The sequence below is a fragment of the Homo sapiens genome, chromosome 3, assembly GCF_000001405.40.
Source record: "Homo sapiens chromosome 3, GRCh38.p14 Primary Assembly".
Classification (NCBI taxonomy): Eukaryota; Metazoa; Chordata; class Mammalia; order Primates; family Hominidae; genus Homo; species Homo sapiens.
This window is the reverse complement of record NC_000003.12, coordinates 73,553,998-73,566,875: the sequence shown is the minus strand read 5'-3', so window position 1 is coordinate 73,566,875 and position 12,878 is coordinate 73,553,998. Positions and strand designations below refer to the sequence as shown.

Here is a 12,878-nt window from a genome sequence, read left to right as displayed (position 1 = left end):
TGGTCAAAATATGGCTGCCACAGATTCAGGCATTGCATCTCGGCATGACAGTCTCCAGAGACACCAGCAAGACACCGTTTTCTTGTCTTTATAGGTGTGAAGAGAGCTTTCCAAGAAGCTCTAGAACAGGCTGCCCCTTGTTAGTGGTTTGTTGGACAGAATGAAACAAACCACTAATCCTATTATGGGCCATAAATTACCATGAATGGCTTGGACCAATTGGGATTTATGCACTTTCTCTGAGGGCAAATAAAATATGGGTCACACCATCAAAGGAAAGGCAGCAAAGAGATGAGTAGGCAATAAGTAGTCATTGCCATACCAGATTCATCCTACTGGAACCCCCCTTTATGGATACATTTTCTTACTCTCAAATAATGAGCATTTTCAAAATCAGGACAAAGGAGTGGTTCTTTTGTTGCAGAGTTCCTTACATAAATTCATATTTTCCTTCTAAATTTTCTAAGAGAATTTTATGGATAAAGACTTTCCTTCAGTATTTTCTCTTATGAGTTGAATGTTGTGCTCACAGTTCATGTAAATATTTTGAGAAAATGTTATAATTCCATTTTAATCTAAAGACTTGTGAGCCTGCCTGTTTATCGCTGAGGTTTTCTGCAATCCTCGTACTAGAGGAAGTGTCATTTTGTGTAAACCAGGAAAAGAAATTGGTTCAAGTAAGTCTAATTGCAAAGTTGCTGAATGAAGATATCCCTTTCTCTCTCTTACAACAAAAATTTAAAATATAATTTAAAATTGTCAAACAATGATCATGTCACATCTGGAAATTTCAGGTTTTTACTCCCTTGCCTTTTTTCCTAATTACCTGAATGCTCTGGATATTCAGGCTTTCAGCTGTTTGACTTTTCTGGAGGTAAGAAAAGGTATCCAGTTTATTTCACTTTTCTCAGATGTGACTCATGTCTTTGACATAAAAATCCTTATCGCACAGGATAAGCCTCAGGAATTGGTTTGAAGAATGAAGACAAACCTGGTTTTTATGAGAATAGGGAATTTTTTTTTTATTGGAAGCATAGTTTTCTGTGTGTGTGTGTGTGTGTGTGTGTGTGTGTGTGTGTGTGTGTGTGTTTTGTATTTTTAGTAGAGACAGGGTTTCACTATGTTGGCCAGGCCGGTCTCGAACTCCTGACCTCAGGTGATCCACCCGCTTCAGTCTCCCAAAGTGCTGGGATTACAGGCGTGAGTCACCGCGCCCGGCCCCTGAAGCATAGTTTTCAATGAAGAGTCGGCTTGGAAAGCGGTAGGATTTGTCCCAACTTCCCAGGGCGTAGTGGAAGGTGAAATAAGACCACAGATTTATCAACCTAATCCTTAGAGACAACATTCATAAACATGAACTGTCAGTTCATCCAACCTTCTCTCCTTTTCAGATGAGGCCTAAAGAGATTAAGTGACTTGTTCACTTCCATTAATTTTTGGTGGATATAGGCCGGGTATGGTGGTGCACACCTGTAATCCCAGCATTTTGGGAGGCCAAGGCGGGCGGATCACAAGGTCAGGAGTTCAGTACCAGCCTGGCCAAAATAGTGAAACCCCGTCTCTACCAAAAATACAAAAAATTAGCAGGACATAGTAGCAGGCACCTGTAATCCCAGCTACTTGGGAGGCTGAGGCAGGAGAGTTGCTTGAACCTAGGAGGCAGAGGTTGCAGTGAGCCGAGATTACACCACTGCGCTCCAGCCTGGGCAACAGAGTAAGAATCCATCTCAAAAAAAAAAAAAAAAAAAAAAAAAAAAATTGGTGGATATAGTATTTCCCTAAAGCCCTGGAGAACGGGTGGTATATACAGTATTACATAGTGCTATGCTGTCTGATATTGTGTGTACAGTTACCTTAACACTCTGTACTTGGGTAACTTTGATAATGCAGATGTAGAAATTGGCAGTGGTGGTAATGATGATGAGAATGATCATGAAAATCATAAGAGAGCAGCTACCTGACATTTATTGAGCACTTACTGTATGCTGGGCAACATGCTTACACCTATTAGCTGTAACACAATAATTATATTATTGCCCCATTTGACAGATGAAGAAAGTGAATTTAGAGGTTAGGCTTGCCCAGTGTCACACAGCTGGAAGTGGCAGAGTTAGCATTCTAGCTCACATTTGCCTAATTTCAGAGCCTGAGTTCTAAATTATGAGGCTTACCACTAATTATTGGGGAGGGAAAGGATAGTATTTATGATGCTGAGAAGGAAAGTTCCTGAGTGGTACCAGGAATGACCTGGAAGAGTGAAAAGCCCTAAGAGGGATTGGACCATCCAGTGAGCATAGGGGATTGTGTAGATCAGGTGAAAATTGGACCTGCCTCTTCAACCCACAAGAGAAAGTGCAGGGCGGAGAAGAAACCTCAAGGAACGGAGTTGAGCTTTGAAAGGAGAAGTTGGCTACAGGTGCTGGAGAGGGCTGATGGAATGTATTTGGGGCAGAGGTTGAGATCCTGGCCCTCCCATGTCACACACCCTAAATTGAGGCCACATGGCTGTCAGTGAAAACAAACCCAGGTGCTGGTTTCAATAAAAGGTGAGACTAGGACACAAAGAAGGGTAGGGAGGGCAGAGAACAGCTAAGGTCTGAACAGCTCTGCAAAGTAGGTACATGGCTCCCAGGATTATCAGACACATTTTTCACATGGGAAGACAGAATTTTCAAGATGTTAAGTGACTGTTCTAAATCATTCAGCTGAGACTTTCAGTCCCCATATTTGGGATATTTGATGTAGAGTTATACAGGTTTGGCTACAGAAGGCATGACTCAGGCAGAGAGAATTAGAGGAGCCAGGAAGAGGGCAGAATAGGCACAGCCTCTAAACCAGCAACCGTGCTCACAGCAGCCCAGAAGCCCAGGGGGAGAACATGTGTGTTCAAGGTGGTTGCATGTTCATGGTAATAATTACACTAATACCCAATAACAGAGAGGTTACCTTGTGGTTATGAGCCTGGGCTCTGGAGCCAGCCTGCCTCAAGTCCTACCTCTGCATCTTCTCGCTATTTATGTTCTGTCAGATTGTTTTCCCCCTCTGGGCCCCAGTTGCCTCTTTTGCAAAATTAGAATGATAATTATACCTCATAGGATGTTGTAAGAGTTTATTAAGCATGTAGAGCAGGAGTCAGAAACCTTTTCTATTAAGGACTCAATAGTAAATGTTTTTGGCATTTATGGCCATATAGCGTCAGTCATGACTACTTAACTCTGCCATAAGTTGGTAGAAAATTCAGGCATTTAAAAAATCTGTTTGCCATAGGAAATTTGCAGAAGCCCACAGCAGGCAAATGTCTCTTGATTTATAAATGAAATTGTATAAAATAGTAGCCATAGAAAGTAGACTTCTGATTCCAAATTATCAGCAAAGTCATGCAGAAAACAGGCAACTTTTTAAAAAATATAAGGTTTTAGTCTGTGTAAAGGTGATTATAAGAGGAATATTCCTTCTACGGGTCTGCTTAGCTTTCTCCTAACCACTGCTTTTGATTTATCCAGTTCATCATCTTTTTTTTAAATAGAAAATATAATTTGGCGGCTGGGCACAGTGGCTCACACCTGTAGTCCCAGCACTTTGGGGGGCCGAGGCGGGCGGATCACGAGGTCAGGAGATCGAGACCATCCTGGCTAACACGGTGAAACCCCATCTCTACTAAAAACACAAAACAACAACAACAAAAAAAAAATAGCCGGGCGTGGTGGCGGGCACCTGTATTCCCAGCTACTCGGGAGGCTGAGGCAGGAGAATGGCGTGAACCTGGGAGGCGGAGCTTGCAGTGAGCAGAGATCGTGCCACAGCACTCCAGCCTGAGCAACTGAACTAGACTCTGTCTCAAAAAAAAAAAAAAAAAAAAAAATATATATATATATATATATATATATATATAATTTGCCAACTTGCAGCCCATGGTTAAATAAGTACCACCAGAAAGTCTGAAAATGTATTTTCCATTCATAGAAAAAAGGATTAAGCTGACTTAGAAATGTTTTATGTTGACAGTATCACTTAAAGGAGATATACTTCATTCTTAATGTGAGAAGTGCATCTTGGAATCATTTCTGGTAAAGAATTCTCTTGCCCTTTCCCCAAATTAAAAAGAGGAAGAAAAGCAAATGAAGTACAAAAGCCTTAAATTTCAGTGAATAGACAGCTGTGCTCTCTATTCGGGCTTTGATGGTGGGATGGGGGTGAATCCATTGTACCCCAAATTATGTAAGCTTCAGAAGCATTTGCACTACCTGAAGTCCCGGAAATGTAGATGGCATGCATTTAACGGGGCTGACCTTGGTAAATATAGGTTTGTGATTGGGAGGATGGTTTTGTGACACAACTTCTCCAAAAGCAAAGTGACGTCTTAGTAATGATATACTTTGTGTGTAGTTTACAGGGAATGGAGACTTTTTTGTTTTATTCTTTTAAAGGGAATCTGGAAACCACGTCTAATTTCAATCTAATGAAACACCTCCTAATGCCAGGGGTTTCTCAGGTCAGTTTCCTAAGAGAGGCATATCATGCCCATCTTATACTGGATGTCCTATGTACAAAACACTATCTATATTACACTTACCTACTAGATTTCTTTTATTAGCTTTTACCCTGGTGATGTTAATGGTATTCTCATGACTCTTTTTTTATCTGTGGGACATTAATGTGTTAAGGGTTATTTAGCTCCCACTGTGTGCAATAGAGAGAGGTAGGGAGAGAATACTGAGATATCAGTTCATACATCTCTGTACATGTGAGTGTAATGGGGATTTAGGCTTTTCTATTCTGTTTTAGAAACTGTAAATCAAACCAGATCAAAAGATGGTTTTTGACCAGAATTTATGAATTTCCTAGTAAGTGTTGACACAGCACTGAAATTTAAGGAGCAGATGTATCTTCTTGAAATTCAGGAAGCTCACATGAATTCCTAATGAAAAACAAACAGCTTTTCCAGCAAAAAAAAAAAAAAAATGACTTGGGTTTCTCTGTGATGTTAATTGTACCAAGTTCTGATTATGTGTTTCAAATCACAGTAAAAATCGAGGAAAGAGGATTTTTTTTTTAAGTTTGCTTGTCCAGGAATTGAGACGTGGGATTTCAGGAGTTCTGGCCCAAACACGTGCCTCAGAAAATGGGGTAGACAAGTGCACAAGCATCCGCATGTGAGGATCCGCATGCGAAGATGCACGTGAAGACCACAGCTTCCTTTCTGGTGCTCACCATGTGAGTGCATCATTTTTCAACAGTAGTTCAGTTCAGCCTTTCTTATATAATAGCCTTGCAAGTGAACGGATAAGCAAAGTCAGTTGCTGAGAAATAACACTTCCGAGCTGACGCATCCAAATGTTTAGGATACACCTGAGATGTCTCTCTTACTGAATAGAAACAACATCCCTGGAAGCTCTAGACTTCTGAGGCACCCCAGCTTTCCCTGGTGAGTATATTAACCTTTTCCCTTCTTGACATGCTGTGGAATCAGCTGGAATGCTCATTTCATTGTAGCCACTGGACAAAAATGCAGCTTGCCCTGGTCACAGCAGTAATGACAGATAAAGTATGGGAGTTTGTCTAAGAGGGGGTGAGCCCTAATGGTTGAAAGGTTGACAGCTTTCAGAATGTTTGCCACCTCTCTTTAAAGCAGCTCCACCAGGGCAGTTTGGCAAATGTAAAAACAAAACAGTTATACTGCTTGCAGCTCTAGGATTTTAAATCACAAACAAATTCTATATTTTATTCAGCCATCCAGTAGATCAATGAGAAGTAAAGCATCCTAACTGAAGGTGAGAAAGTCATGTGTGTAAAGTTTATTGTCGGGATCTCTTTATGTGGTTATGTTCTGCTAATAGGCAAATTCATTTAATTTTTACATGGTTTCCCCAGAAGAGCTGTTTACATAGTTGCTTGTTCTTCTCTTCCCTTCCCTTGTCTTCCCTGCTTCTCTGACCATTACCATCTAGACCCAGCAAATAGACTTTAGTGTACAAATGTGCCAAACGCATTTCATGTGCACGAGCCGTGACTCATTGTCAGTCACCTGGAGCCTAGGGGGCTTTCTGCATTAAGAAATCTTTTACTCCTAATAATGCTGTTTTCTGGATCATGAATGAGGCTCAGCCATGGCTGTGCTAAATACAGAAATATCTGTGTTCTAAAATCTCCATCTCTACAAAATTAATCTGATGCTGATGCAAAGGGATCCATCTGCCGAACATTTCCATCCCATGAATATGGGAAAAGGGGCAGATACAATTGAGTATGCACAGGTGCATTTAAACATTTAAACAACCCTTTGAATGATGAGTAGGTTGAGTATTTCTCAATGGAGCAAAATGTGTCTGACATGCCATTGAGCAGGTATATTTAAATGATTTCCCGGTTCTTCCACCACATATACAGTGGTGCATATTTTCTTATGGAAGGTCTTGTTTCTCCATCTGTATATTGTGCTCCAGAGCTTTTGCCCCCAAACACACCCTTATATAGTTGGGGGATGAGGAGCACTCAGCCTCGAGGTTGAATTCTGTCCCTTATTCCGCTCACTCTCTCTTTCCTGGCCTCTGTTTCTTCATCGGTAAAATGGGGACAGTAATAATGGTAAGTCATAAGATGCTTATAACAGTCAAATTTGGCAGATTTGTGAATATTGTCCAGCATAGCTTTTGGCACATAAAAGGAGCTCTTCGAAAATGTTTTTCTTCTCTTGAGGGTTTTCAGGGAAAAGGTTTTGAAGAAAAAGATTTCAAGCCTTATTGGATTAAAGTCATGTTCGTACCTACAGATTGTTGGTTCTCTTGAGAGCAGGCACTGTCTGGTGCAGACTCTGGGAGATGTCCCCTGCAGAAACCTAAGTTTTAACATAACCCATGCTAATTACATCATGTCAGTGACAGTGGGCATGGCAGAGCTGCTCCCGCCCTTGACAGAAAATAGTGTATGTGATTTGTAAATGAACTGGGTGCTCACATGTTCTCTGGGAATGTAAATATTGACTCTAAGGAAGAACTAAGATAATTTTGTGGTGAGATAGTTTCTAGTTGTTTAGGCTTTCATTTTGCTTTGTTTTAATTGCACACACATTGAAACTATATTCCAGCCTTGGCCAAACTTCAGTCATTCAGACACCACCATCCATCCTTCTACTATCCATGTTTTTATTTAATATTTTTATTTAAATCCCCTCTTTTAAAGTGTAAACTTATTTTAAAAGCAAACCGTCTCTTTCTTACATAAATAGGAAACAAGTATCACATGCAGTAACTAGAAGGTGGCCTTGATGTGCAGTGAAAAACAACATCTTCAAATCAACTGAAGGCTCCAAGGCCTGAAACCCATGTGCAAGAGGGAGATTAGCAAGTGTGTGAGAGCCGTTTAAGACACTTTCACACCAGAGAGGTTCTCCTTAATATAGACTCCTGAGACAAGTTCGGAAGGTTTTCTTGTTTGGATTCTTGTGTCAACATATTTTGTAGATTAGACCTCATTTAACGTCATAATCTCATCTTTTATTAATATCATTATCATTGAGGGGTTTTGTTGCCCCTTTCCATAAAATGGCACCAGAAACAAAAGAAAATAAAGTTCTACACATTGCTGGGCCAAACTGTGAAACTGTGTTTAAAACAAAACAAAACCCACAGTTTTCAGTAACTCTTTCTCAGTTAAGCCTTCAGGTTGAGAACAACATTGTCAACCGGGCATAATATTAATTCCAAACCCACTGAAAGGCATCAGCCAGAGAAAGGTTGTGACAACCCCCGCCATCCCACTAATTGTGGTTAATTGTGTCTGCCTGTGTGTTCCAGTTGCTTGGTGTGCCTGGGGTCTTATTGAGGGTAGGAACTGTGTCTCAACACTACTGTAGCATTTCTCTTGAATTCTTAGCCTAGTAAGATGCATATGGTCAATTCCATCAATAGTTCTTGGGTAAACTTGAAGCCTCCCACAGCTTGCCAAACAGAGCAGACGCATGTCCTTGGAAGCACTTGTGATCCCTTTGCGTAGGCTGTCAAACAGTGCAGCTCTGGGCTGTTCCTGGCTTGCAGGGTTAATGTCGAAACTCATAGGCTTAAGAGAGTCCATGATTAAGAGGTTATTGTAAAGCTTACACAGCATATTTAGTTAATTACAGTTCTTCGTTTACCCTCTCCTGCCATTTTGCATTTGCAAGGAATAGAGGGAGCCTGCTGTGTTTGTCTTGGAATGGATTCTCCAAAAGCTTAGAGACCTACTTCTCCCCTTTCCTTATCAGGTCCTCTGGGTCCCAGCCCCTGACCCAGGGAGCGGGACCGAACAGGAAAAAGAGGAGGAAGGGGAGTTTGCTCATTCACATTTCTGTGTCTGAGTGGCTGTGTCTCTTGCTGCAAAAGGGCCAGTGAAGGATGAGTCATCTAGTTTATCCACTTTTGCCTATATATCTGTTTTGTTGGAGTAGATACCATAACTTGAGAGTATACCGTGGTTTATTCTGTGGAGAGTTGTTAATGATAAAGAAAATTTAGTTTTTCAAACAATATTTTTGAATCTTGCCATGATACTTAGACCTTAGAAGAAACTTATCACACTGTACAAAAATTAGGACATTTAAGATTCATATTTAGTACTTTGTTTTTTAAATTATCTCCCTGCTGACTTTCCAGATATGCTCCTGGATTTTTTTTTTTTTCACATACCCAAGCAGCTTTCCCTCCATGGTATAGAGCTAGCCAAAGATTTTATTTGCATTACATAAACATAACTGGTTATACTACAGAGGGCTATTTTTGGCAACAGAATTTCTGTATTTGATTTTTTCACTCCTAAAGAAAAAAAACATATATTAAAGATATAAACTTTTTAAATGTAAAAATTATGCATTTTCATTTTATAGAAAATACAGGAAAATATGTGACAAAGTGAAATTCTATACCCCAAAGATAATCACTTAAGATTTTGGTGTGTTTTTTCTTTTTATGCATAGAAAAAAATTGAGGTCATACAATTTAACTCTTGAGTTTTTGTATTTTTGCTTCTCTTGTCTGCAAGACATAAGTTGAAGTAAATGGTATTTAATGTTCTAAAATCACTGATTACAGAGTTAAGTGATTTTAAATGATATTTTAAAATTTTATTAAATTGCATACCTTTTGAATCATAACAACATAGTCTCCAATATCTTTAAATATTTTTTCAGAAATTTAATGTTAGTCATAAGACATAAGACACAACCTTTAAATAGTGAATGGCAGAATGGCAGAATGGCAGAAAATTGCCCATGAGATTAATTGGTTAAGAGTGCTGAGATAAGTTCCAGCTTTGTAATTACTTTTCTGTTATTTACGGCCGTTAGTTTGATTACATAGTTTGTAATATGAGGCCTTGGATTTAAAGTATATCATTGTTAACTTAAAATGGGAATAAAGAATAACCACATGCTCAATTTTATTGCCACACAGCAATGAAAAATTCATATCATAAGATGAGAAATAGTCACAGAAATCCAACTTAAAACTAGTGATCAGGTTCCGAGCGAAGATATTTCAGATTTTATTAACTTGAAGCAGCTGTTGTCTCTAATATGACACACCCCACAGAAATGGAATAGGTCTTATAAAGAATACTTGTGTTTTTTCTTTTTTAAAGCAGCTGGCTTCCCATCATTGAGCTGTTTTTGAGTTCAGGAACTCCAGCTCTTGGCCTTTTCCTTGTGAGAAGGAAGGCTGAGGCTCTAGAGATTTTTCCCTGTGCAGCTGCTGGGAGGACAGGGTGAAAGGGGAAAGAGCCTTTGACCAAGTTCTGTGCAGGATCTGGGCACAGTGGTGGGGGGATTGGGAAAGAAGGATGGATAAACCCTCCCTGCATCTATGAGCACCAGCCTTGCTCCTGGGCATCTCATTGTCATAAACTCTCAGTAATAGGAGGGACAGGACAGGGGACAGTCCCAGGGGCATGTGGGAGGGGCTGGAAAGAGGAAAACAGGCAGATTCCAAGGGGCAGATGCCAGGAGGGAAGGCTGCTCCTCAGTCAGGTTCAGGGTCCCAGCGTGGAATTCCAGGAGGAGTACTTGAATCTCAGCCTCCAGCATTCTTGAAAGAGACTGGTGGGGAAGACCCTCAGGCTGGAACGTACTGGAGTTCCTGGCTTGCTGCAGTTGACTTGCTGCCTGATCTCTGGTGTTCTTCAAAGAGCTGCTCAGATGTCATTCTTCAGGTCTGCCTTTGATTCCTGGCATGAAATCATCTCCATGCACTGGGTGGTTGTCCCTACCACAGCTTCTAGTTATGTATTAGCATGATTATTTGAGTAATATTTTCCTCCCCATATTTTATCCAACATTCTATCCCCAGCACCAGGCCCTGTACCTGGCATCCTAAAGTCCACCGTAAAAATTCATCAAAGGAAAAGATGACCATTTAAAGGTCATTTTACTTCTCTTTGCTTTATTTAGCTTTCTGAAATCTTTTGATAAAAATATATATGGAAATTTTGGTAGCTCTTTTTTGGGTGAGATAGCAGTGTGTTTTCCAACAGGAAAAGGACAAATTACTATTTGTATTATTGTATATTTATTATATTTCAATATAATTATAAAATAATTTGCTGTGTTATATAACTTTTATATCCTTAGTTTCTGAAACCATTTTTGGAAAAAATATCTTAACTTTCGATTTAAATATTTTTCTCAAATGAAAAACTTTCATAGATTATGATTATTACTTATTAAATGTGAGATTTTCTTGATGTTTAAGCCACTAGAAAAATTTCAAAGAGGGAAGAGTGTGTTGGCAATTATTATGTTCATTTTATGATGAAGATATTGAAAGTTAAGAGGATTTCTCAGTCAGTGGTGAATTGAGGAAAGAAAATTGGGAGGTGGGGAGCATTTCTAGGAATTTTCTCTTATGAATCCTTAAGCATATTTTGTAATTATTGCCTTTTCTGAATCACCCTCTTCAGTGATTAGCACAGTACTCTGCATGTATTAAGTACTGGAGTTACAATTGAATTTATGTGTGTAAGAACAATAAGGATGTGGAAGGAAGAGGTATTTCCAGCTATAGATAATCTTGTGTTTAAGCCTATTCTTTTTATTTTTCTACATTTTAAATAGCTGATTTCAATTCAGAAATAGAAAACCAAGGTTACCATTGACTTTCCTTTCACCTCTCCAAAGTTCAAATCCTGAACTTCGATCTTTTCCTAGAGTTTTCTCTTCTCCTGCTGTTAAATTCACTGGGTATATTTTCTGTCAGTGTTACCTCCCCAAAGTATAGGACTTGGTACACATGCCGTTGATTGAGACTCAAGCAATGTGGAATTGGAGGTCATCATACTGGAGCAAGCCTGAAGACAACCCTTATTTTCCATAAGGAAAGGGTATACCAAAGAGAATAATACTTTTAACAAAATGTCAGTGGGAAAGTTTTAATTACTTCAGAGAGTTGGATTCTTTCTAAACATCCTGGACTGCAGGAATCTCTGCAAATTAGGATTCTCCCTACAGGTTTGTGGATTCAGAGTTTGGCTCTGCATTTCAATAATCATTGCAGCTGTTTTATTTGTTGTTTTACTTTGAGAACAAAGGTGTTTCTTCCGAGAGCTTCCCCAGGGCCTCACACTCAAATTTTCTTCCTCGTCCCAAGTGACATGGCAAGTTTTAGTAACTAGTGCTTGTTCTAGGGAAACAAAGTTGTGGCTCCAAAATGTTCCTTAAAAATGTCAGTGATTATGGTATAATCATCCTCTCTGAAAGAAAAAAAAAATTACTGGCTCTGATTCAAAAAATAACAACACATTGGCTATAAATCCCCTAATTGCCTCTGAAAAGCAAAAACGGACATGTTTAATTTTTCTATCCCCCCTGCAACTTATCTGCTTTGTCTGGTGATTAAAATAGGCGACAGCCAGTCAGGCCTGTTGGAATCTGGTCCCTTCCCTGCCACTGAGGGCTTGGGCTCAGACCTTATCATGTGGAAAAATGTAAGAGAAAAATCTAATTGTTATTAGACATACTCTCCAAAAGTCACCTAGAACAGAATTGTTCTGGTTCACCCATTTGGCATGATGTAAAAGCAACACGTTTTAAGAATCTGGTAGTTTGATCATCATGGACAGTAACTTCTCATAACTCATTTTACGGATAAATTACCAAGACACTGAGAATATTTGTGTGAAAGAGCATATTCACTGCCAGTGAGTGTGGATGAAAATTGTGGAATTTGGCTTATTTTTTTTCTCTTACCTTTATGTCTTGGAGACCTTTCTAAGTTGGGATATGGAAGTCTTTACCTCAGTTTTGAAAACTGCAGTGTGACAGTCCATGGTATAGATATTTATTTCCTTGGCCATTTCCCTTTGAACGTACATTATGGTTTGTTTCTGATTTTTCACTGTTGCAAACAACGCTGTGGCCCATGCTTCTGTGAAGAGTGATGATGATGATGATGTCGATGACGATGATGACAGCAGCAAGCGGACACTTACAGAGCACTTATCTGTGTCTGGCCTTGTTCTCATCTTGGGAGTGTGTGTGTGTGTGTGTGTGTGTGTGTGTGTCTTCTCTCAACAATCCTGTGAGATATTCTTATATACCTTCTTATTCTCTTTTTATATTTGAGTAAAATGAGGCGCAGAGAAATTTTGTGACTTGGCCAATGTCACACCTCGTAAGCTGCATACTGGATTTGAATCCAGGTGGAACCTCATGGGTATATATAAGATTGTAAAAATACACGTTCCCCTTCACCAGGCCTTTCTTCTGACCTAAGTGGTGGCCATTCTCCACATCAGCCCTTGGCCCTCTATTCTCCATCTCAGGCTGCATATAACCTTCACTCAGCAGCTCTGTGCTGGTCATGCCCAGATATCCAGGCCTCATGGGCCTCTACTTTGTACCTCCAGCTGCCAGTGAG

At 39.7% G+C, this 12,878-nt stretch overlaps 1 protein-coding gene and 1 long non-coding RNA gene across 5 annotated transcripts in view; one reads left to right on the top strand and one right to left on the bottom strand.

The window, feature by feature from the left end:
* PDZRN3 (PDZ domain containing ring finger 3) overlaps window positions 1–12,878 on the top strand; it is a 242,511-nt gene that overhangs the window by 58,066 nt on the left and 171,567 nt on the right. Inside the window, exon 1 of one of the 4 annotated variants that reach the window (NM_001303140.2) lies at window positions 5,296–5,425. The exons of the other annotated variants lie outside the window; for them this stretch is intronic. The gene's annotated coding sequence lies outside the window, so the exon portion shown is untranslated. Of the gene's footprint in view, window positions 1–5,295; window positions 5,426–12,878 lie in introns of those variants that run through there. 4 annotated transcript variants of the gene reach the window in all.
* The window catches only part of LOC101927296 (uncharacterized), a 48,453-nt gene that overhangs the window by 2,899 nt on the left and 32,676 nt on the right, over window positions 1–12,878 (bottom strand). The gene's annotated exons all lie outside the window — the stretch shown is intronic.